General features: G+C 35.3%; 1 protein-coding gene across 6 annotated transcripts in view, besides 1 other annotated feature; it reads left to right on the top strand.

Annotated features, from left to right (window-relative positions):
* The window catches only part of DACH1 (dachshund family transcription factor 1), a 429,239-nt gene that overhangs the window by 106,102 nt on the left and 295,771 nt on the right, over positions 1 to 27,366 (top strand). The window lies entirely within an intron of this gene.
* Positions 247 to 1,719: an enhancer, noted in NCBI's record as "VISTA enhancer hs619". NCBI's record gives its function as "enhancer in: midbrain (mesencephalon)[5/8] | forebrain[6/8]" and the evidence as "EXISTENCE:transgenic organism evidence [ECO:0001131][PMID:17130149]".

The following is a 27,366-nucleotide window of genomic DNA, read 5'->3' as shown; positions in this document are numbered from 1 at the left end:
TTTTTTCAAATTATTAAAATTTGGTGAAATGAGAGTTATTTTTAGATGTTCTTGCCCCGGAGTAAAAGAGTAGTAGATAGAGGATATAAGGACATACAAGATGAAGGATTTAAGATAACATTGGTGATAGAGACAATGGATTATGAAAATGATCACTTTATATTCTGTAAATTTCCTGAATTCAAAATGCCATATCAAAATTCTCTGATGTTTATGAAAAAGAAAAGTTATAGTGGAATGTGCTAAGTGTGTGGATGATGGGTAGTGAAGATGATGATCCCCATGAAGAGATTGGGGTGAAAAACCAAGAGAAATAAAGAGAGAGAGAAAAAAGACACATAGAATTTTGATAACTGAATTGTATTTGGAAAGATAAATTGGCCAATGGCACTGAAAAAGAAATCCTCACCACTACAACACCCTTGAGTTCATAAATATGCCAGTATCTATTTTTTCATTATTAGTAGACAAGGCTGTGTCCTTTCCTTTGATGACGGTAACGAGTTCTATGACATTGCCACTTTGAGTTCTTGCTTCATTAGATTGGGTGACTGTTTATTTGAAATTGTAATGAAATATTTACTTTATAGAGCTATAAGGATTAACTGTGATAATTGAGTGAGGCTGATCTGGAGCTTTCAGTGTAATAGGTCCCCCTTGTTTGAATACAGAGCGCAGTGAGAATGAACGAGCAAGTGAGTGTGTTTCTGCCTGTCACTTTCTTTCTACATGTTGCTTTTTCTTCTGGAGATAAGTGGGCCTAATGCTGAACAAATACTGGAAATCAGAAGCCACTGAGAATCATTCGCCTCTCGCTTTCCCATGGCAGCATGATAGACGCTCAATCAAAGAACCCCCTCCTCTCAGCAAAGCAACAATTTTGTCACCACGAGCAAATCCAATTGAAAAGTCCCTTGGACTGAGAGGAGAACTCCAGTTGTCAGAATCAGCAAACAGAATGAAAAGAACTAAGAGGAGTAAATTGGCACCTGGGGCCGCCGTGGTAGCCTGTGATAGGCTGTGGCATTGTGTTGGGTAGACATTCAGCCATTTTCAGATATAATGGGAGAAATTAATGCAAATGAGTCAATGGAATGAAATGCATTTTAATGCAGATTTGAGGGACTATCCTGAACTGCTTGATAACAAGTCGCTTTAAGAAAAGGCTTACATTGTGAGGACTCATTTTTTCCCCATTTCTTCTCACTAGTGCCTCATAAGGGCCCTTTGTTCTCTAAGTAAACTCTTTCTAAACTATTGACATTGCTCATTTATGTGAATTTCAGATTTTTTTTTTCTCCCTGACAAAGTAGCCTTGGGTGATCTGGGAAAACGTTAATTGCAAGAGGACAAGGAAACTGGCTGAAACAAGAAATGCAGTCATTAAGTGTAATGTTGCAGTTGTCCATGCCTCATTATAACATGCATACAAGGCAATAAAATGCATGTTTCACAAACAAATCTTTTGACAACTATAGTTCAAGAGCCTCCAGCTGTCCTGCTTTTTTACATCTATTTCTCTTGGTTTAGTAATCATTATTGAAGCTAAACTTTAAATTCCCAGAACAGTCCTTCATATTATGCAAGAACCATGAAGATATTAGAGTTAAAAATTGTTTACTTTAATATTTAAAAATATTTGCTTTCCAAAGTTAACTGGAATTTCTCACTAATGTTTTGTTTTGAAAATGACACTTAATAATAGTGAGGGCAGCGTGGGGGTTGGGGGGAATGAACTTAATCCCAAAAAAGGCACTCTTTTATAAACCAATATTTAAAATATTTAGCTCCCTTAGGCTGTCTTTCCATGAAGAAAAAATAAAGGCTTCATCTTCCACATTTAAGGTCATGATGGTTTCACTGGACTATAAATGCCTATCTTTTTTTTTTAGGGACAAAAATAGTTAATCAGATGAAAAGGTCATCAAGTCTTAGTGCAGCTTAAAACTGGTGAACTGTCAGACTCTCAAGTAAAAGCAGCCAGAAAGGGGAAAAAAAGGTAACAGATTCAGCATTGTCCAAAAGTTCCAGACCAGTGATTAATGTGTAAGATAATGGACTTGGGAAATGAGTAAACACTCCCCATGCTCCCTGCTTTGTGCTTGAACGACTTGATGACAAGGGCAGAGCAAGGTGAGAATTTAAACAGGACCACAGGAAAAAAAAAAAAAGACAAAGACTGGCAACAACATAATGCGAGGGAGGGGGAGTTTACTGGTTTGCAGTCTAAAAGGTACATAATAACTTTCTTCAAAGCAGGCCTTAACAGTGTACTAATTTAAACTTCAACATGGGCATGGAATTACCCGTAGAAATTATATGCCACTCAGTCATCTTTTAATATACCGGATATTTATATGTACTTGTTTTCATTTATTTGTTGTTAACTTCCTTCGGCAGACCCATTAAGCATTTAGATACATATTTGTGTTCAGATGTATCATCCTCAGGGAAAGGAGATGCTGTATTTTGATTAAGTGGTGCGTTTCAAGGTATTTCAAGCTATTCTTAAATAATTATATAGGCACATTTTAGAGTATTCCTCCATAAAAAAATATTTGAGGATCTGGATGCCTTGCTAGCTGTCGCACTGCATTTCTTAGCAATCTGTCATCACTTGAACTTACACTTTTCTTGATCACATTGAAGACCTTTTATATGTATAAAACATTTATTTACTTTGAATAAAACTTGTTTTGTTTCCAGGTTCTCACTCCCTGTATTTCTTTAGACACCTACAGAGGTGTTTTCCAGGGATCTCTTTTTATAGGATCAGTAGCTTAAACATGTTAATTTTGTCAGTCTTTTACATAAAAATCTATTTCTGCTCTGTCAATCTGTTTTAAATGCACACATCACAACTGACACCCACTGAGGATTTATTTGTCTCTAAAAAAATCCTGACAATTTCTCTGGACAAATGTTACCCATCACCTTAAACGGTGCTTAATGAACTTTGAGCAATGGCCATGGAGAGACTGTGTTCACAGCCCTAAATCTCTATATTGTTGTCAGGTAATCAAGTCTTCGGTGGTCAATTTAAAAATATTTGAAATTATCATATTGGTTCTGAATACAATATTCATCATTTTTCTTTTAATCATAGAGAGGTTTGTAATTATGTTTATGTATATTTTGTAAATTAAGTCCATAATTTAAAAAATCTTGATATTGCATCTTCCTAAAGGCACTTCAGTGATTCAACCCTGAAAAGCATGATAATACAGAAATGCCATTGTGATTATCAACAACTGGATTGCTACTTTCAAAGTACCTTTAAGGCCAGGCGTGGTGGCTCACACCTGTAATCCCAGCACGTTGGGAGGCCGAGGTGGGCAGATCACCTGAGGTCAGGAGATCAAGATCAGCCTGGCCAACATGGTGAAGCCCCATCTCTACAAAAATACAAAAATTAGCTGGGCATAATGGCGGGTGCCTGTAATCCCAGCTACTCAGGAGGTTGAGGCTGGAGCATCGCTTGAACCTGGGAGGCAGAGATTACAGTGAGCCAAGATTGCACCATTGTACTCCAGCCTGGGCGACAGAGCAAGACTCTGTCTCAAAAAAAAAAAAAAAAAAAGTACCTTTAAAAATTCTCTTGGCTTTTCAACAACAGACTGGTGAGATTGGCATTATTACACCCATTTCTGTGATTAGGAAAAATGGTCCCTACAGAGGTTAAGTGATTTGTTCAGGTTAGACAACAAAGACTCTACAGAGCCATTTGGCCACTGGTCCGTTTATTTTACTAAAGCTCCAAAGAAAATGCCTTTAAAAAAATCAAGTTATTTCCTTATATTGCTTGTGTTCTAGTGCTTATGGCATTTAGGGTATTAAAACAGTTTTTCTTAATTTTTCTTTTGATCCCAAGTCTTGAATTACTATGTATTGATTTAAGTGATATTTTAACATTTAATTGAATGCATGTTTATTATGAGTTACTGAGGCATAATATTAATTATTCAAGCTAAATAAACTATTTTTGCTTTATGTCAATAATAAGCCCTTTCAAAAATCTTCAAACGTGTGTTACATTTTTATTAGGACTTTTAATACATATTTCTCATGTTTTATGCATTGAATTGTACTTAACAAAAATCAAACAGTCACAGTATATGAGTTTTTTGTTACAAATTTGTTACGTGAGCCATCGTTTCTCCTGATCCTTTACATTCACTATGTCATTCTCACAAGTGAACAACATCCAGGCAAGCATATATCCCAATTTGACGTCTCTATGATAATCAGATATTCAATTCTGCTTGATTTAAAGCAAACTTTCTATATATACTGAGAGTTATGATTTTTCCTTTAGAAAATTGAGTGGATTTCAAATTTTGCTATTAAATATATTTTGCTTCTAAAAATCTGAATTTATATTTCTACTCTAAAGATGATTGTTTTGTATTATAATTATACCATTTTATATCAGTCTTCCTCATTAGACTGTGAGTTCATCCAGTTAGAGGAATCCTGCCCTATCTATCTTGACCTTTATTTCTGTGATTGCCAATACAGTGTCCAGGACATAGCTGCCACTCAACACAGTATCTTTTAAAATAAAATGTTTTTTTTTTTCATTGTTTTGAAAACAAACCCTAAACCATAATATAAGTCCTTTCAATATTCTGAGAATGTTGAATTATAAGTTTTAAAAGGATAAATGAGGGTGGATGTTCAATTCTCTGAACCCTGGATTTCTAGGAAATAAAAATGAATTCCTGGTAGATGGGGTCTAAGTATACTTTTAAATGTCTTGGCCGGGTGCGGTGGCTCACACTTAGGTAATCCCAGCACTTTGGGAGGCCAAGGCGGGCAGATCACGAGGTCAGGAGATCAAGACCATCCTGGCTAACACTGTGAGAACCTGTCTCTACTAAAAATACAAAAAAAAAGAAAAAAAAATTAGCCGAGTGTGGTGGCATGTGCCTGTAGTCCCAGGTACTCGGGAGACTGAGGCAGGAGAATTGCTCGAAACTGGGAGGCAGAGATTGCAGTGAGCCGAGATCGGGCTACCGCACTCCTGTCTGGGCGACAGAGTGAGACTTCGTCTTAAAAGAAAAAAAAAATAAAAAAGTCTTTAGTTTACGCATTTTAGTCTTTAAATTTAAATAATTTAAATTTTCTAGCCATTACTTTAATATTTAACATTTTTTAGTATTTTTTCCATACCGTCTCAGCCAATAAATTAATGGTCTATGATGAATATTCTCTATTATTTTGGTATAGTATCATAAGTTTAAAAGTAATGGTTTCCATATATTTGTTGCTAATGCTGTGATTAAAAGAAATACTTTTAGAATTCATGTGAAAGGAAGAGAGTAGGCAAGGGACAGACTTGATTTAGTTTGAAGACATTATACAAGTCTGTCTCTATTCTTAGATAGTAATTTGGGGAAAGTAGTATCCCATGTTCTTAAAGATCTATGTGAAGAAATTGATAGCTACATCATTTCCTCTTAATGTACTGAATTAAAAGTTAGGATACATACCTTTCAGACTAGGTTCTGCTACTTAGTAGCCCTGGAACTGTCTGAATTTCAGGGGTGCCATTTGCAAAACAAGACAAATTAGACCTAACTTAAGACTTCCTAGCTCTAACAATAATCTTGGGACCTTGGGACATTGACTGCAGAAAGAAGAGATTTAACTAGCTTTGGTCAGAGCAATAAAATTAACACCAGTTTCGTCTGGCCCACTGATGTCACAATTTAAACTTGAAAGAGAGTTCTGTGAAAATAGCTTTTCATCACCATTGTTTTTCTGATTGGGGTCCATGTTTAAATAGCTACCTGTATAACAGCCTTGTATTGCAGCTTTAATATCCAAAATATCTTTTTTTCCTCAACTCATGTGTGATATATTAATAAAATTCTCATAAACAGATTTTTCTTGTTTTGCTATACTTGATTGAGGTCTGCTATAAAAAATTAAAGCTACTAAAGGTGGGGAGATATCGGCAACTCTGTTGAACACTGCTATTCAGTATTAGCCAAGTGGAGTGTTTCCAGGCAACATCTTAGTATGTAGAATCTACCCTGAACATGATAAAATAAAACTCATAGACAAAGTTAATGATTTTTCTTGTTAATTTTCAAAGAGAAGATGAAGAGATAAAGTAGTTTATGATGATTTCCCCCCGGCCCCGGTCTTTTTGCCCATCTCCTGGATAAAAACAGAATGATATTAAAAGCGATGTGACCCAAGGAAGAAATGATATTTAACAATTCATAACATACTTGCCTTATTATTCTACCTCTTTGTTTTTTATTAGACTCTCCTGCAATGCAGTGAATCACCAGATAGTGGCGTTTTTTACGTTTTGCAGAGTTGTGCGATATATTTGTGCCTTTTTTTTTTTCCTGGTTATGTCTAAAAGATATAATTTGGCCTACATTTATCTTTAATGGAATATTTTTTGAGAATTTCATGAAATACTTTAGGAAATGTGAGACACCCTGGGGTATTACAAAATCTGGGCTGGAAATCACTGGCCCAGAGAATGGTTACTAAAGTCTGACAGCTGTTGGGTCAACGGGCTAAGCCATTTAACCTCCATAAACCTCATTTTCCTCATCTGTAAAACAAAACTCTTAGTGCTGACCTACTTCATAGTTCAGGTTGGCAGCAGCTAGGAAAATACTGAGAGTCATCATCCCCTTGCAAAGTATCAACTCCCATATCTTCTAAAGACTGTACATACCATAGTACAGATACTTGATTGCATAGCATGAAAGGGGGCAAGGAAAGGTAAATTATTATTTGTAGTTGGACAGGAGCCAGGAAGCATATCTCATATTTTTAGAGATATTAATTGGGAGTATCTATATCCAGAGCCATGGGCGATGCCAGAAGGGAAATGGGCACGATCAGAGAGGAAGCACTAACCAGGTGAGCCAGCTGTGAATTCCTCCATTTTAAAGCACTAATAGAACAGTCTGGAACTTTGCTTGAGGAAATACATATTTATTTTGCTGAAACAGGATATGAAAAAAAGAGAAAATGGAGGAAAATAAAAGTAATACTCCAGTGGATGATGTATAGAGTACATTAAAAAAGATAATCATGAGTCACATTAAGTCAGAATTAAGCTGCTTCTGATTTAGTATGTTATTTTGGTTTCTCTTTGCATCTGTGGCCTGAACCAATTAAAATATTTTGAAACAATAAAACATTTGGTCATTTATACTTTGACTATGGCATGAGAATTACTCTATATTACTTTTGTATGATTTGTACACATGGCAACTAATATTTCTTGTATAGTAGTTTACAGCTCTTGGCAGCTTTAGGGGTAGCTGATCACAGTGACTTTGGTTTTAAAAAGGAAATATGGAATAATCCAAAAAAGAATAAACCATTGCAGATAATTGAGAATTGATTATATTTCACACACTCAAAATGTGGAAAGTTCTAAAGTGCTCTTCCACTTGCGAAGCAAGTTAGGTAGGCTGGTAGTGAAATATTGAGGGCAATTTTCTTCATACTATTACTGGAACAGTGTCAGCAAGGCAATCTATGAATGTTTGTACTTTTTCAGACCTGGATATACTAACTTCGTTATTTATATATCTTGGTAAGCGATAAATGAAAAAGGCATTTAAAAAACTTGCATACTTCTTTAAGTGATTACATCTTCAAGCAGATGTTAAAATAAGGATTAGCCTTTTTTTGCATGTGATGGTGCACGAACCTTTTAAGGAATCTGTGAATTATTGCTTTGGTTCAGCAGGAGTGCAGTAAGAAGAAATGTACCTCATCTGTAATACACTGTGTAGACTAATATCAGCTCCTTTTTTCTTATATTGCAGCGAGATATTGATCTGGTAAAATGGTACCATATTGGAGCTGTCTGTTGTGGTATTCATCATGCTGTCACATCCCTAGTGCCTTGAAGTTATTGGAAAGTGGAATTGAGAGAGTTCTGTCATTTGGTGTGGCAATCCATTCACAGGACAGTCACTACAATATTTGCAGTGGTTCGCTTATTTTTCTAGCCAGGATAGCTTCACCTTTAGTAACAAGAGGGCCTTTCTATTATCCCATGCATAGTGGTATTAATAGGTTAGGTTTAACTCTTCTCTGGCTTGCTTTCCTTGTGTATCATTGCTCTTTTCTAGTCACTGCTCACACCTGCTGCCTGTCCTGATGCTGATGTATTGGGCTTATTTCTGTGGGACTAGTATATCTGAACTGTGACTTCAAGTCCCTTATGCTTTTATCTGACGGTGGTGAGAAGGCAAAAGATGAACTTTTATATGTAGAAAGCTTTAGTTTCTTCACACACTAAAATATCAGTTAATGTTAAAAGAGCTTTCAAAATATAAAAAGATACTGTCAATCTTCAATGACTAGATTAAGGAGTTTGAATGAATTATTTTTGTTTTGGATTCTTGCTGGCAACCTGATGATTTTAGTAGAATGTCATGTTTTCTTAAAAAATCAGAAATGACAGATTTTGTTTGGGGGAAATAATTATTATCTACTAAAGAGTGTTAAAGTGTATAAAGTGTTGTTAATCTTTAGAAAGATGAGTTCCTGAAATTCCAAGTAATAATAATTTCAGCTATAGCTAAGTAACTGAGCAACAGAGAGAGAGAGAGAGAGAGAGAGAAAGGAAGAGAGACAGACAGAGAGAGAAAGAGAGAGAATTTCCTGGTTTGTAGGAATTTAAATGCAATTTTAAAAGTTGAATAATATCAAACTAGGTTACTATTTTGATAGACACTAATGGAAAAATTATGGCTACTAGAAACCAAGACTATAGTTCTTTGGAGAAAGTATATTTTTAAAATCAACAGTTGAATAGAACTAAATATGCAAATATATGATGTATTTAATGTACGATTGTGCACTATTGTTAATACACATTCACAGCATGCACTGTAATAGCTCAGAAGGAGCTTTCAGAGCATTTATGAGCTATGACATGCATTTATATTGAGTTATCCGTATGTTTTCTATGCTAATCTTAAAAATGTCCACTTATTTGCTGTTGCTTCAGGAGGATTAAAACCTCTGAGAGGATGGCATTTCAGTGACTTTTCTATTCTTTCATTAGTCAGTATTTTTGTTTATATCACACTTACTATAAAGGAAATACTAAGGGACTCACAGAATCAAGAGAGATTTTTTAAAATTTCAATAAACAATGCCATAAATTGGGTGATACATAATAGTAGAATTCACACATAAAAGTTTTTAAATAAGTAGCAAAGCAGTAACAAATATTGATCACAAGGAGTGTATAAGTTTTTGTAGAAATACTAAGTTCTCATTTCAGTGACATATTTGGCTTAGTTTGCATTATTGCTTAATATGAGATGAAGCATATTATTTTAAGAGGTGAGAAAACCATACAATCTAATATTTTGTTGACATATTTTTCTATTATTTAAAATTGTTAGTTTTTTACTTTTTACTTTCATATTTACTCTTACTCCTGCTAGATATTTTTCAGAATGTATTTTCATTTTAGATAGTTTACTCATACTACATCTTACATCAGGACATGCTAGAGGTGAGGGTTTATTTCTGGTGAATCAACATGTAAGATGTAATTATAAAATAATTTCTGTATCCCATTAAGAATTTAGATCAACAATATCTTCAATTATTAGACAGGGCAGAATTTTGCAAAGCCATTATTGTGCTCTTGGTATTCACTAGAATGGACAGAAATAGAACATCACTGTCCTCTGTAAACAGTTTCAATTTGATCTGTGTACATGATAAAAATCTTGGCTTCTCAATGCATTTAGGTGCTGTCATAGCTGTTGTTGCCAAATAAGAATGCAGTGTGATGTTATTATAGTAAACAGCACTTAAGCACAGCTGGCAGAATTGATCAGGGCCACATTAGAGTGAACTTCAACAGATGACTGACGCAGCAGAAACAATAACTGAATATGCAAACAGTTCTTGCAGTGAATGCTCTGGGGATCAGGCACCATTATTTTTGACTTTGAACAGGGAAAAGGGGCAGATTTGTAACCTCCTTCCATACAGAAGGGTTCTGGGTATTATGTAAACATCTGACTGCCATTTATAATGCTGGTTAGTTACAATGCAAAACTGAAGCCTCTCCTGACTATTTACATTCCATTAATTATTAAAGGAGAAAAACATAAACATCAGATAACTTTGTTTAATGTTTCACATAGGATTTATTTTTTTTAGCCATCTTTTCTCAATTAATGTTAGTCATCAAGAATTTCTGGTTTAACTTGGACAACAATGTGTGTGTTTCATTGATGGCTCCCACCCCTTCCCCTAATTATTACAAGAGCTAATTATGTGAACTACATATTGCTGTTTTCTTATTGTAATGATTGAATCATTAAAAGTAAGCAGTGTAGAAATATTAGATAACATTTATTCATGATATTTCTTTTATTCTTGGTTTTAAAGTCAATTTCTATTTTGCTAATAACTAAAAATATCAAAAAGCCATGCATGGTAGTGAGGACAATTAAATTAAACAACACTTTCATTTCCTAGTTCAGCATTTATTTATTGAATTCTAAAGAAACAATTTGCACTTTAAAGCAATATTAAACAATTATTCTTATAATATACTCTAGCTAAGACACATATTAAATGAAATCATACATTAGATTGTTATTAAAGGGTACATTTACTTGAAATGCTAACTTTTCTCATTCTTTTTGTTAGACCCTTAATTCTGTTGTCATTCATTCATTTGCTATGTGAATTTATTAATTAAATAAACACAGATGTGGCATTTTTGCGGCAGTGTAAGGTACAGTTTCTTAGTCCAAGGATTAGGGAACAATTCAAAAAAAGCAATTATTGCATGGTAGGGTAAGTGGTTGCTACTGGCATGCAAAGAGAGTGTATTTCAAGAAGCTCAGGTATTTCAGGGAAAGTTTTCTAGAGGAGATGATGTTAAAGTATAGACTCTAAACATCGGTATAGTGGAGTGGGGAGGAGAAGCAGGGGAAAGGAGGATGTTCCAGGCGGAGAAAGAGCATGAGAGAAAGCAAGCTGTTAAGAGTGAATGTGACAGAATTTTTGAACTCTGTATGATATTTATTCCCAACAGAGTACCTGGCACATAGTAGGTGCTTCCATAAATAGTTGCTTGAAAGCATAAAAGTTTGAGATAAAGACAAGTGTTTGTTTATTTTTGTCTTTAACTTGGCTTTCACAACTGGTGGTCCCTTTCTTCAATCATTCCTCTCCGGATCCTCAGCTCTCCGCTTATCTAGCTCTTACCTCTCACCCTCATGATGCTTGTTTTCAAAATGGAGACAATAATGCCTATAGCATGGAGTTGTTGTGAAGCTTGGAGATGACGGTTACGGAACTCGTGTTCCTTAGTCGGGTTCACAGAATGGTATAAACGACTAACAGTTTCCCAAGTGTTGTTCCTCTCTACAATATTAACATTTCTTTAGTGCATCATGTTTTAAATCTGAGGGATGATTCCTTAATTGTGCACTTAAGGGAATGCCTGTAATTTTCTCATTTGAAAGAGGCTGAAAAAGGTAAATTTGTCAAAATATTAGTAATAATAATTATGTTTACTGAGTACTGACTCTGTGCCAAGCACTGTGCTAAGAGCTGGGATTTGCGGCATTATCCATCATTCATTTGGTGTATCAGCCCAGGTTTTATCTGATTTGTTCAACTTTTTCTTAACAAATGCCCCCCCCTCAAAAAAAATCTAGTGTGTTCTCAAATTATACATTAAATAGAAATTAGTCATTGGATATTTTTAGGCAAATTAAAATCTTCATAATTTACACACAAAGTGCTTGGATTTTGGATTGGTGAACAGAAAAATATAGAAAATAGGGCCAGGCAAAGTGGCTCAAGTCTGTAATCCCAGCACTTTGGGAGGCCGAGGCGGTGGATCACTTGAGATGAGGAGTTCGAGACCAGCCTGGCCAACATGCTGAAACCCCATCTCTACTGAAAATACAAAATTAGCTGGGCATGGTGGCAGGCACCTGTAATCCCAGTGACTCAGGAGGCTAAGGCCCAAGAATCGCTTGAACCCAGAAGGCAGAGGTGGCAGTGAGCTGAGATCATGCCACTGTATTCCAGCCTGGGTGACAGAGTGAGATTCCATCTGAAAGAAAGAAATAAAAGGAAAGAAGAAAGAGAGAGAGAGAAAGAAAGAGAGAAAGAAAGAAAGAAAGAAAGAAAGAAAGAAAGAAAGAAAGAAAGAAAGAAAGAGAAAGAAAGAAAGAAAGAAAGAAAGAAAGAAAGAAAGAAAGAAAGAAAGAAAGAGAAAAAATATTTTTTATATTTCAGGTAACATAGAGAAAAATTAGTAAAATCTAATCATGTTATGAAAGATGATATATTAGTTAAGAAAATGTCCCATATGTTTTTGTTTTTGAAATCCTTACATTATTTTCTGAGCTAACAAATAGGCATTGTTCTTTGAAAACATGAAAAGCAGACTTCCAGTTAGCTTATACAGGGCAGACACCTCAAGGCCCTGGGAATGAGGATTGCTATAGTAGTAGACAAAGAGGGACCTGTTGACCTTTATTCAATGGTGCCCCCAGAGTGAGCTCAAGGGCAAAGGATGTTCTGGGGATGATGGAAAATAAGCAACAGGAATATCATTCTAGCGAAGCAAGCAGACCCTCCACTGGGTTCCCTTAAATTGATTTCTCTTTTTAAAAACTAAGGGCTTGAGCTTGTTTTATTCCATCTGTAAAATGATTTCCAAGCACTTTTTTATCTCTAAGATCTCTTTAGCTGCCACTCACTGTGATCAGTTTTGGCCTTATGAACTGAAGTGTATGGTCTCAAAGTTGTATTCCATGTTACTTTATTTATCTTAGATAATGTCCCCTACCACTTTTTGCTGAGCAGAGACAATGTTACCCTGCTTCACTTTGCTTTCCCCCCCTCAACATTGTTTGGAGCTTGCTCCTTTTTTTTTTTTCAGATCCCAATATTAACAGAGCATGTTCACAACGTGTTAATCTGTGTGAATACATTTGTAAAGCTGGCCAGTAAGTAATAAATTTGAAGGTTACTTTGGATGGGAAAAGTATTCTAACTGTACTTAATCTTTTTATAGTTGGAAGTCAACATGCTGTCCCCCAAAGGTCTCTCCATATTGCTTTTTGCTTTTCACCAGATTAGATGGTTTATTTGCCTGTCAAGTTCATGCACAAACTGGGCAAGACCTTCCTGCACCTCAGGAATGTGAGAATGGACCAGGGTGGTCTCCAAAGTCCTACCTATCGGTCCTGAGAAAGCTGCTACAGTGCTATACAGGGACCCATTAGGACACAATTCATTAAAAATTCCCAGAGAAAGGAGGCTAGGATGGCAGAACTCAGATTTCCTTGCTTCCTCCCATGGACCCAGTAGAGACACTCTCAAGGTAAATGTAGCTCCCAAATTTATCTAAAACAAACATGTAGTGAGGAAACTCACAGAATCTCCTAGAGCATCCTTGTATGGAAGCCAGCCTGGGCATGACATGAATGCATTTTTAGCTGGGATGCCTGATTTTCTTTTTTCTGGCAGGGGGATGGAGTCTCACTCTGTCACCCAGGCTGGAGTGCAATGGTGCGATCTCTGCTCACTGCAACCTCCGCCTCCTAGGTTCAAACAATTTTCCTGCCTCAGCCTTCCTAGTAGCTGGGACTACAGAAATGCACCACCTCACCCAGCTAATTTTTTAATTTTTTTAGTAGAGACAGGGCTTCACCGTGTTGGCCAGGCTGGTCTTGAACTTCTGACCTCAAGTGATCCGCCTGCCTTGGCCTCCCAAAGTGCCAGGATTACAGGCATGAGCCACGACGCCAGGCCTGGGATGACTGATTTTAATTATTTTTTCTTATTAATTCTGTACAGTGTGTGGACTACATTACATTACAGTGTGTGGACTACATTACATGATCTAGTATTAACTCTCATCATTGTGAACAATTTTGAATTGTAGGTAATTTTTCCTATAAAAATTACCGTTCCTTTGCAGAAAATAGATATTATATATCATACAACTATTTGTATATACAAACACAATATTTAAATACATAAATGCAAAAATAGTTGATAGATATAGCTATTATGTGTCAGTACATATACATATGTGTTAATACATATGTGTTACTACAAGATTATGTGTTAGATATTGTGTTAATACATATACATATGTGTTAATACAGAAATGTGTACTCTATCAAGCTGAATATTTTTGGCAGGAAATATTTACCACATTGTATTTTTAGTATATCTTAAAATATATTAAAATAAATACATTCACTAAGTCGACATAGCTTTGACTTATACTTAGTGAAGACATTAGAGAAGTCCTAGCCACTTCTGGGAAGGAACCCAGAAACTTCTCTAACCTTACATGAGCAACCAGTGAAGGCTGGCACCAGTAGCTCATAAGCTTGATTAGATAACACAGGTAGCCTGCAGATACTGTGGAGGTTTTTTGTTTGTTTGTTTGTTTGTTTGTTTATACCATTTCTTTTATCAGAGATGCTAACACTGAGCACAGCAAAGAATAGGTTGCTGGTGCTCTGGGGGTATAAGAGGATTCCAAACAGGACTTTAGTGGTAAGGAATTTCCAGTGACCTGGGAATTTTTGTAGTTGATTTCATCTTATTAAAATCATTATGCCTTTTTTAGTGCCACATTTAAAAAACATATTGCAGTTAAGTGAGTTTACTTTTCATCAGTGACCAAATCTGAACTCCAAATGTGATTGATTTTTGTATTCTTAAACTCTAAGCTTCCACTTTGTCATCTATAAAGGGAAGAGTTTAATTTCAACATTTTCTTCCATTCCTATCTATGGGTTTCCTCTTCATTCATGTATATTTTGGAAGAATCTTTCTTGTACATGATGTTGTTTATTATTTTATTTTATTTTATTTGAAACAGGGTCTTGCTCTGTCATCAGGCTGGAGTGCAGTGGCGCAATCTCGGCTCAGCGCAACCTCTGCCTCCCGGGTTCAAGTGATTCTTCTGTCTCAGCCTCCCAAGTAGCTGGGGTTACAGGCGTGTGCCACCACGCCCAGCTAATTTTTGTATTTTTAGTAGAGAGGGGTTTTCACCATGTTGGCCAGGATGGTCTCGATCTCTTGACCTCGTGATCCACCCGCGTTGGCCTCCGAAAGTGCTGGGATTACAGGCTTGGGTCACCGCGCCCGGCCGCATTATGTTGTTTATTATGATGTAACAATTACTTTTAAAAAATATTGTCTTATCTCTTAGTAAGTATAGATAACTCTAATGTTTTGAGGTGTAGTGGTGGAACATGGTAACCCCTCTAGGTATTTTCCCTGCAAAAGCCCTGCAGTTTTATTGGGATTGAGTACACCGTTTTGTTTGCATAATGGCAGTTCTCAGTGTAGTCTTACTCCAGTTGGTGAAATGTAAAGCACCACTCACTTTGTAACATTGTCTTTTGGGCAGAATTGCACAGTTATACAAAGCAGTTACATGATGTTCTTGTTTGGTGACTGTTTCTCCAGGAAGATTCACATTGAATTATTTCTTAATCTCGATGTCACGTTTTGATGATACAGCTTAGTTGGTGGAAACCTGAAATCTGTGAAGCTATGTTTCATCTAGCCTTCTGTGCCATGCCATTGCAATTTAGACATCCATTAGAATTTATATATTATGATAGTATAATGCAATTTGCATATTCACCAAGTAGCAAGAAATTATTGCTTTTCTTCCCTTTGATACTGTGAGGTCATATCTGACATGCATACTAAAGTTTGGATGATAATTATCTTTTGGAGATGCCATTACTGCAGAGCATCCATTTTTCAAAGGTATTTGTGTGCCTATTACATATGTTCTCATGATAATGAACCTGTAGTAGAACTTTAAAAGAAAAGAAGGGGAAAACTAAAGTGGGGACAGATGAGTTCTTTAATAACTAAGAGATTTGTGGAAAGAAATAGTAGACAGAGAGACTTATTTTGAAACAAAAAAAAGGAATGAAAACAACCCTTTATAATATTCAGTGTCACATAGTCTACAACCTGATTGTATAAATGTGGTTTCATTTGATTTTCACAGCAATCTGTAAGGCAGATGATATTATTGCCACTTTATATATGAGAAACAATATTCCGAGATATGAATTTGCAAAAGGTAAAAGAATAAATAAAAATCCACAAAACTTCTGATTCTAAATCTAGTATTCTTTTCAACCAAACCTTGCTGGGTTGCTTATGTAGAATTCATGTTTGACTCCCAAGACAAAACTGGTAGAAGGTTAAAGAAAAATTCTAGAGTTTGCTAAAGCATATATACACTTTTAACCTATGATGTTTCATGAATTTAAAACAATTATAGAAGTTCCTTTCCTTTTTGTATGGATTCTCATAAAATCATATGAAATTTGATTTATAGTTTTCATAGAAATGTTTAAATCCCAACCAAAGTGGGCACCCATGTGTAATATTCTTCCAGGATAGTTGTTAAATATGTGATTGCATATTCTTAGCAGCATGGTCTTACTGTTTGGCTACACTAATTGTAAGAGTTTTTGCCTTCTTGTGGAAGTAAGAAGTGTCTGTTTGTTCCTGGTTCCTATGTGGATAGGCCACACTAATTCCCCTACTGCATCACAATTCTTCAGAATTGTGATAGGAAAGATACTTCTGGCTCTACCGTCCTCCAGGCAGGATATCACCATACCTTTAGTGCTTCCTCAGCTACAGCTTTCAGATTTTACCTCTGGTTGCTTTCTAGTTTGTGTATGTCTTTCTTGAACCGTATCAGGCATAAGCTAACCAATGCAGAAGATGGTGAGAATTCTAAGTGCCTTATCTGGGACACTGTACTTCTTTTCTTGTAAACTTCTAAAATTCATGAGCTATATTTCTGCTTCATTGCTGAATTACAATATGTTATGAGGTAGTCAGTTTATCCATTGATTATTATTTCCAAATCATCAAATGGTTCAACCTTTCTTTGTTGCTTTTTCTACTATTTAGGGAGGTATCTGTAACTGCACCAAGTCAATTTATTAAGTGCAATGCTTTTAGTAAAATGACACCTTCAACAGAGGTCAGGACAGTAAAATTTCCTTATTTACACCTTATCTGTCCTCTGTGGTATTGAGGTTTGGGCATGAGAACCAAAAAAGTAATTTGGTTCCTTTGTTATATTTTCGTTTTTACTTTCCAGGGTTGGGGGCTTTTATCAACCTGAAAAAATCTTTCTATAAATCAGTCGACTTTCAACATAATTAGGAGAAGCTGAGATGACATGGAAATAAATATTTCTGCAAAGGGATTCAGTCATTTTATTTGAAAAAGACATGAAAAGTTCCTTTAAAATATAATTTTCTTTTTTGCTAACATGAACAAATTAGAAAACTTTTTTTCAAACATTCATATCAATCTTCCTGAAACACTAATATTTATAAAGCCATAAAATCTGTTTAAAGGCAATTAGGAAACACAAATTGTCTAAGGAATTAAGTCCCACATCTCTTACCTGGCATAGGATATTCTCCAAATCAGATTCATTCCTGGCCTTTGCCATTTATCAGTTCAAGAGACTTTAGCAAGATACTGAAACCCTCTCCATTTTCTTATCTCTGAGGAAGGATGTATCTACCTCATAGAGTTGTAGGGACTGTGCGAAAAAGCAAAACCTTTAGCAAAGTGTGTGGCTCCTTGTCTTTAATAATCAGCAGTCCTGATTCTGCTGTATAGAAACAGCAACCCTTGACTTCAGACAGACCATGCAGTCTTGTCACTATTTCTCAAATATACTATTAGGATTCTATTTCCATGTATCAACTTTATTGGGGTCTTCTGCCATGGCTTTTCCCCCCACTCTGTTCCACATATCTAGAGTGTGTTCTGCTTTGGGGTTCACAAAAAATGTATTCCCTGATTATTCCTCCCTTTAGTGATCTGTCCTTCTTTTGGCATTCACATGACAAGTTTGCCAATAATTTCGGCAGTGAGTTAAGTGTATTATACAGCCTTGCTTAACTTCTGTCTTCTGGATATGTATGTCTTGGTCTCTATGCAATTGGAAACTCATTCTACTATGTCCATCATATCACTGTGTAAATACCAGGACTTCAGTAATGGTTATTTAATTCAAAAAGTTGTCCAATCAAGAAGTCAGTGTTTTAACCCTCACATATGTTATGTGACTTTAGGGGAGAAACTTTACCACAAGATTCATAAATTTCTACAGAGAAATAGCACATGGAATAAAAATTATTAGACTATCTTTAGAGAGGAGATGCTGAGTAGGAACAAGAGAAAAATAAAGGCAGATTTTGCTTATTTAAGTTGTCTATACTGATCCCTCTGCAAACTGACTTTTGGGAAATCCTTGAGGTAAAAAGGAAGATTGAAATGTTTCCAGTGTCTTAGAAAAAAAAAATGTATAAGATGAAGAAGATGATGTTGAAATATTCCCAAGGTGACATTTAGAAGAGGCTGCAATTCTGCAGACAGCAGAAATCCCTTTACTAATAGTAAAACATATCTTTATTTTTCATTGACACTTCTATTTTGCAGAGAAAACTACAAATAAAACATTTCTTTGCATTTTTCTTCCTTTTTTTTCCCCAATGGAGTAAATATGAATAAATTTTAGGAATGTCTCATATTTAACTAATGAAATTTTTGCTTGATAGTGGTTAGAACATTTTACATGTTATAATTTCAACATTAGTATGATATTTGGAGGGACAAGAAGAATAAAAAACTGGTAACGACCATTGATATTTAGAAGTTTAACTGAGGAAAATTAGTAACAAATTAAATTTCCATAGCATATCAGTAAAAACTTGGGTTCCAACTAATCTGTGGGGCTATGTATTAGTCTGTTTGCATGCTGTTGACAAAGACATACCTGACACTGGGAAGAAAAAGAGATTTAATTGGACTTACAGTTCCACATACCTGGGTAGACCTCAGAATCATGGCAGGAGGCGAAAGGTACTTTTTACATGGCAGCGGCAAGAGAAAAAGAGGAAGAAGCAAAAGCGGAAACCCCTGATAAACCTATCAGATTCTGTGAGACTTATTCATTGTCATTAAGAATAGCAGGGGAAAGACTGGCCCCCATGATTCAATTACCTCCCCCTGCATCCTTCCCACAACATGTGGGAATTGTGGGAGATACAATTCAAGTTGAAATTTGGGAGGCGGCACAGCTGAACCATATCAGTCTGTATTATCTCTCTTTTTTTCTGCTTTAAGTGACTATACGTAGGTGTTGTTTTCAGGGATTATACATAGGTATTCTGAAAGATGGGGTTATTTTCTGTTTCATTCTTTGACTAAGTGGCTTCTTTTGTCCTTATGTGCCAGAATAGCCTAAAAAATGAGAGAAAAATCACTCAAATAGAATTAAAAAGATTTGGGAAGAAAAATTATTTATTTTACATCTTTATCCATTATATCTGTTTAATAAGTTTATTTTATAGATTTAAATAAGTTAATAAGAGTTAAATTACATTTCAAATTTAGCATAAAAAATAATCTCTCTTAGACATATTATCAGAGGGATCATTAATTTTATCAAGCATTTTGAGGGAATGTATTATTGTCTTCAACAGAAAAATAAAAATACAATACTAAATAAAATAAAGAAGTGGATTGTAGGATTTTCCCCTAATAAAATGTCCCAATCTCTTTTTCATTTTAATACTTCCCCTTAACCATAATGAAGTAGAGTTGAGCTCCATTCCTGGAAAAACAATAAGACGAACAAAGTTCTTGTTTGATCAATGTTTTTATGCCAGCCTGTCCTTACTTAGCAGTATCTGATAAGGCATTTCCTTGTGGGCATTTTTCTTTTCTTCTCTTTTCCCAATAATCAAAATTAAAAAGTCAATTATTGAATGACTTCCATGTGCTTGGTACTTTGCAATGGAAATTTTGCCAAATACGCCATGAGTAATATTTCAAGAAACTGTTTGAACTTGGGTGGGAAGATGATATGTACATAGCAAGTTACTTCTAAGAAAATGGAAAGATAAAAACAGCATTGTAGAGTTAAGAGGAGAGTTATAACAATTACTACTAGTTTTTCTTTAGAAAACTAATAATTTACTGTTTTATCTTGAGAGTATATTGCTACTGGGCTGATGTGGGCCATTTCATGTTATCTTCAGTGATACAAAGTAAAAAGTCTTCGCTTTATCTGTCAAGGCCAAAATAAAGTGTCAAGGCTAAAAGGTAGGTAGATGGCTTCCATTTTAACATAATTTTAAAAAAATGTTTAGGAGAATATTCAAATCTATGTTATAATCTATGTTTTCAGTATGAAAAATGACAACATATTATACATCATATCATCATGTGATAACATGTTCAAAATAAAGTGATTCTTGTAACTTTTCACTTAAAATAATACATTATGTACTGGGAAGTAACTGCTATGAGATATTAAATACACCCACACCCCAGGCAGTAGCACATGCAATATCTTATTCAGCTTTATGACTGTTGCTACCTTTACCTTATGCTTTAACTCTGACAGTTGATCCTCCAATTTGAACTGTCTTAACATAAACAATTTTTTTCTTTGAAGCACAATCACTTGAAATATAAATAAATCAATATATTACTGAGGAGTTTTAAAGAACATAGGCCAAGGTTTGATTTCTATGTGATCTTTAAATTTAAAACATTATCTGCTTTCTAAGATGTCTTTTAATTCCCTGTGCTTCATGTTTAGTTGGTTTCAAATTGTCAATAAAAATAGGGACATACTTTTTAAAGAAAAATACTTGTTAAAGGAAAGAGTTCTTGAAATCATGTAATTTTTTTTTTGTTTTGTTTTAGAGTGAATTCTTCTTTAATTGACTTGTAAAGAGTGAAGTATTTGGAATTCATTTTATTTGATGTAGGTAGTAGAAAATAGCTTGAAGAAGATATGCCAGATGTGCGATTTAGCTGTCTTCATCAGTCTTGAGAAAATAGAGTGAGCAAAGGATAAATCCAACAGTTGTTGAACTACTTTTGCGTGTGGGATTCTAGTTAACGAGACAATGTCTGGATGCAATTATTTGGAAAGTTCTTGACCTTTTATTTGTACAAGTTGATATAATTATGATTTCATGAGGAATGGTTTTGAAATTCTTAAACCAATTTTAGTCCTGTGTTTATATTGTGTCTTTTACTTTAGAAATCCTGGAAATGTTTTCTACTTTTAACTTTTACAGTGTGTCTTTAAAAGCTCACGTTATTAGCTTCAAAGTGTTTTAGTTTAAATTCCCATTTCAAAGAATTATTCTTGCTTAGTTACAAAGAAAATTTGTAACAGCATTCTATGATTCTTAATTCAAATGCCTTCATATTTTTCTATTTGTACTTGATGATAAAAAATAGAGAAAATAAATACATGTGTACCACTTCTTACTGGCCAGCTAACCAAACTTAGCAGTCAAGTAACAGCTGCAAAAACCACTTCAGGTTCCTAGCTCTATTTCTAGAGCTGTCTTGTCCAGGACAGTGGCTGCTACCCACCTGTGGCTCTTGAGCACCTGAAAGGTAGATAGTGCAAACTGACAGTCTTTAAGTGTAAAGTACTTGACAACTTTAAATAAGATAATAGGAAAAAAGAATGTAAAATTTCTCAATAATTTTCATGTGGGTTACTTATTGAAACATAATAACTTGAATACATTAAGTAAAATATATTGTTAAATTACTTTCATCTCTTTAATTTCAATTTTTTAAAGATGCTTACAATTTTATATGGGGTTTTCATTATATTTCTATTGAACAGTGCTATTCTACACACAAGCTCATCTTCCTTAAATATTGTTGGTGCCTCGAACCATGATTCCATCACTTCTTTTCATTGGCCAATTTCTTTTTTTCTTTTTTTTGAATTGAGACATAGTTTCACTCTTGTCACCCAGGCTGGAATGCAATGGCGCGATCTCGGCTCACCACAACCTCCACCTCCTAGGTCCAAGAGATTCTCCTGCCTCAGCTTCCCACGTAGCTAGGATTACAGGCATTCACCACTACGGCAGCTAATTTTTGTATTTTTAGCAGAGATGGGGTTTCACCATGTTGGCCAGGCTGGTCTTGAACTCCTGACCTCAGGTGATCCGCCCGCCTCGGCCTTCCAAAGTGCTGGGATTACAGGAGTAAGCCACCGTGCCTGGCTGCCAATTTCTCATAATAGTTGTTGATTCGCGTTTCTTCCTGTGTCCAATGTAGACTACAACTTCTTGTACATTGTCTTCCATAAAAATTTATTAACTTTCTCAATTCCCCATTAAAGTAACCTGCAACTTCTTCATTGCCAGATCATCTCAGTCCTTATTCTCTTTTCCTTTCTGTTTTTTTTTCTTGAGCATTTGATAGTTTTCTGTCTTTTTTTTTTTTTTTTTTTTTTTTTTTTTTGAGACAGAGTCTCGCTCTGTTGCCCAGACTGGAGTGCAATGGCACAATTTTGGCTCATTGCAACCTCTGCCTCCCCGGTTCAAGCAACTCTCCTGCCTCAGCCTCCTGAGTAGCTGGGATTACAGGCAGGTGCCACCATGCCTGGCCAATTTGTTATTTTCAGTAGAGATGGGGTTTCACCATAATATTGGTCAGGCTGGTCTTGAACTCCTGACCTCATGATCCTCCCACCTCGGCCTCCCAAGGTGCTGGGATTATAGGCTTGAGCCACCTCACGCAGACAGTTTTCTGTCTTTTAAATTTTCATTTTGCTTGTTTCCATCCTGATCTCTTTTTCCCTGAATTTTATTTCTCAATTAATATTGTAAATGTATCTTTTTCACCATGGAATTGTTTATCGAGTATTGGAAAAAGTATGGGACAAAATTCCCCTCTCTCCTCACTCACCCTGCCCCAAGTACACCTTGTTTTACCTATATTTCTCAAGACTGAGATTTGCTACTCTCTATTGGTGGAGGGGAACTCCTATTTAAGAATCACTTCCATGGGGAGCTACTCTTACTGATGAAAATTTATCAAACCCTGCAAGTATGCAAGAATACTTGAGGTTCTCTTTCTTAAAATATCAAATAACTCGTGCTTTGAATGATTACTTCCGTGCAGATGACTTCCAAATATATGTCCGTTTTTCTCCTCGGAACTACTAGTATTTGTCCCATTACTGAAGAACTTCACATATAAATTCCACCACCACCAAAATATATTAAAAACTGAGCTTATCTTCACTTTCAGCGTTACTCATCTTGTTTCCAGCAGGATCTCTTTTGTTTCAGCTAACCAGGCTTTCATATTTTTAGTCATTTTTAATAGAGACTTTGCTCCCTGAATCCTTGCATTTTATAAGCTATTAAACATTGTTGATTATAACTTCATTTTCTCTCAACTTCACCATTCCTATTGCCTCTAGTTTATAATATTGCTGATGTAGTTTGGGACATGATAGACTTTAGGACAAATGAATCTTCTAAATGATTTCCTTGCCCACAGACTTTCCATTTATGTTTGAAGCCAAACTATACATCAACAACAGCAAAAAGAACCCTCTCCTCCAAAAACCTTCAGTAGTTACTGATTGATTATAAAATAAGTCAATCTAACTTTTTAAAATTTAAGGCTTAGTATGGTTTCCAAACTATTTCCAGATTGATTGCATTCTTCTCCATTTTAAAGATGCCTTCATCAACTAAACTACTGCTGTTTTTCATAAATATTGTATGTTCTGTGGCTTTAGTGCTTTGGCTGTTGTTTGTCCCTATGTGGGGAGGGTACTTTTTCTGCCAAATCCCTCCTTCCCTTACCCCAAGTCTCGAATTCCAAGTTCCATTTGTGTTCCAGAGTTCCCTCAAAGGCTACCTGCTCCAAAACTATCTTCATGGTTTTGCACAACGCCTAGTTCTCTCTTCTGAACTCCCATAGCTTTTTCCCTTCAACTTTTTTTTTCTTTTTTTTGAGACGGAGTCTTGTTCTGTCGCCCAGGTTGGAGTGCAAAGGCGTGATCTTAGCTCACTGCAGCCTCTGCCTCTCGGGTTCAAGCGATTCTTCTGCCTCAGCCTCCCAAGTAGCTGGCTAATTTTTGTATTTTTAGTAGAGACGGGGTTTCACCATGTTGGCCAGGCTGGGCTTGAACTCCTGACCTCTAGTCATCCGCCCACCTCAGCCTGCCAAAGAGCTGGGATTATAGGCGTGAGCCACCACATCTATAATCTTCAACTTTAAAGTGTCATTTATCAGATTGTATATGGTGTTATGGTTTTCCATAAAGATGTTTTATATTCTATTTACTCTCTAAGAAGACAGGATCTGTGTCTGATTCCTTTGTTTACTACAGAGCTGAGCACATGGTATTTAATACATTATAGATTATGAAAGTTCCATAACTATTTATCAAATAGATGCATGTACTCATATACATCAGATCGATTAAGAAAACACACTATTACTGCTCTAATCCTATTGCTGTGATTGTCTATTGTTTTTATACTTCTGGGTTAACTATTGAATAAAAGGGTAAGCATTCATATTGATTTGACTCCCTCTTTCTTACGGGAAAAAAAATAGCAGTGCACTTTGAATATATTAGAGTGCTTTCACTTTTTCATTTCTGCCATCCAACCCTTTCAAGTATATCGGGCCCCATTCCATTTGTCTTTCAGCAATCACACACTTTTATATTTATATATATATTTTAAAATCTGTATTCCTTTTTAAGATATTTACCTTTTTTCCTTAAGCTGTTACTATGCTTTATCAGGTGTCTTTTTGGTTTTCTCAATAAAATTGCCCATATGTTCAAGGCCTTTGTCATTATGCTTTAGTACTTTAGTGAAGGTATGCTGCAGTATACGTAAAAAGTCCTTAATAAATTTTTGAATGAATCTGATATGTGATGGCACATCATGGTAATCTATTCTAAGGTGAATCACAAACAGCCTAGACTATATGTGTCCTCTTAACTTTGAGATTTGTTTTCAATAATTATTACTCTTTGGTCACTTTGAACAAAAGCTATTTTCATAGACTCTGGTCCTTCAAAACTCTTTCCTATTGCTTGGGGTTGATGTCTAGAAAATCCATGCATACCTCTACCACTCTGCTGGCATTTTCCATACTCTCTGTACACAGCTCAGTATATTTTGGTAGCTAGTATCATGGAGATAGATTTTTAATGCATTTTATATGACCTTTTAAGAAAAAGTGAGGTGTGAAATAGCCAGCAATCATTTGCAGCTGCCAAAAATGCCATGCAGGGTGCCTTTGATTTTACCGACTGCCACAATCTGGTTCAAATCCTTGTCATTATCTAAGACAAATTTCTACTCTGTTGTGTTATAAAAATAGATTAATTATAATAAAACAGGTAAAATTTTGAAATGGATTACCTTATGGGAAGTAAAAATAATTGGACTCTTTCCCTTAATTTCTAAATTACTTCTAGAATAAGAGAAATGTTTGGTGAAGAATCTTAACCCATCTAAGCAATGCGTTTGTCAAGTAGGAAGGGATATATATAATCCCATATATATACACGTATATCCCATATACACATATGCCATATACACGTATATCCCATATACGTATATCCCATATACACGTATATCCCATATACACGTATATCCCATATACACGTATATCCCATATACGTGTATATCCCATATACACGTATATCCCGTATACGTGTATATCCCATATACACGTATATCCCGTATACGTGTATATCCCATATACACGTATATCCGTATACGTGTATATCCCATATACGTGTATATCCCGTATACGTGTATATCCCATATACACGTATATCCCGTATACGTGTATATCCCATATACACGTATATCCCGTATACGTGTATATCCCATATACACGTATATCCCGTATACGTGTATATCCCATATACATACGTGTATCCCATATACACGTATATCCCATATACGTGTATCCCATATACATATGTATATCCCATATACGTGTATCCCATATACATACGTATATCCCATATACGAGTATCCCATATACATGTATAAACCATATACGAGTATCCCATATATATGTATAACCCATATACGTGTATCCCATATATGTATAACCCATATACGTATATCCCATATATATGTATCACCCATATACGTATATCCCATATATATATCCTGTGTGTGTATATATAAATATCCTGTGTCTGTATATATATATATATCCTGTGTGTGTATATATATATATATCCTGTGTGTGTGTGTTTATATATATGTATATATACATATATGGGATATACATATATGTATATGGGATATACGTATATGTATATGGGGTATACGTATATGGGATATACATATATATGGGGTATACGTATATGGGATATACATATATATGGGGTATACGTATATGGGATATACATATATATGGGGTATACGTATATGGGATATACATATATATGGGGTATACGTATATGGGATATACATATATATGGGGTATACGTATATGGGATATACATATATATGGGGTATACGTATATGGGATATACATATATATGGGGTATACGTATATGGGATATACATATATATGGGGTATACGTATATGGGATATACATATATATGGGGTATACGTATATGGGATATACATATATATGGGGTATACGTATATGGGATATACATATATATGGGGTATACGTATATGGGATATACATATATATGGGGTATACGTATATGGGATATACATATATATGGGGTATACGTATATGGGCTATACATATATATGGGGTATACGTATATGGGATACACATATATATGGGGTATACGTATATGGGATATACATATATATGGGGTATACGTATATGGGATATACATATATATGGGGTATACGTATATGGGATATACATATATATGGGGTATACGTATATGGGATATACATATATATGGGGTATACGTATATGGGATATACATATATATGGGGTATACGTATATGGGATATACATATATATGGGTATACGTATATGGGATATACATATATATGGGGTATACGTATATGGGATATACATATATATGGGGTATATATGTATCCCATATACATATATATATACACACACACATATATATTCAAGTGTGTTTTTATTTTGATTTTATTTTATTTTTTGAGATGGAGTGTTGCTCTGCCACTCAGGCTGGAGTGCAGTGGTGCAATCTCAGCTCAGTGCAACCTCCGATCCCCAGGTTCAAGTGCTTCTCCTGCATCAGCCTCCTGAGTAGCTCGGACTACAGGTACGGGCCACCATGCCTGGCTAATTGTTGTATTTTTAGTAGAGAAGGGTTTCACCATGTTGGCCACTGACTGTGCTTTGGTTTGGCTTATAGGAAATAATTTTTATGAACCAAAATTACATATAACATTCATTTTAAGAGAATAATATGAATTATTTATGATGACAAGTGAACCATTATGTAAAAT

Source organism: Homo sapiens, chromosome 13 (assembly GCF_000001405.40).
Source record: "Homo sapiens chromosome 13, GRCh38.p14 Primary Assembly".
Taxonomy (NCBI): domain Eukaryota; kingdom Metazoa; phylum Chordata; class Mammalia; order Primates; family Hominidae; genus Homo; species Homo sapiens.
The sequence above is the reverse complement of the archived record's forward strand: the minus strand, read 5'-3'. Positions and strand labels throughout refer to the sequence as shown.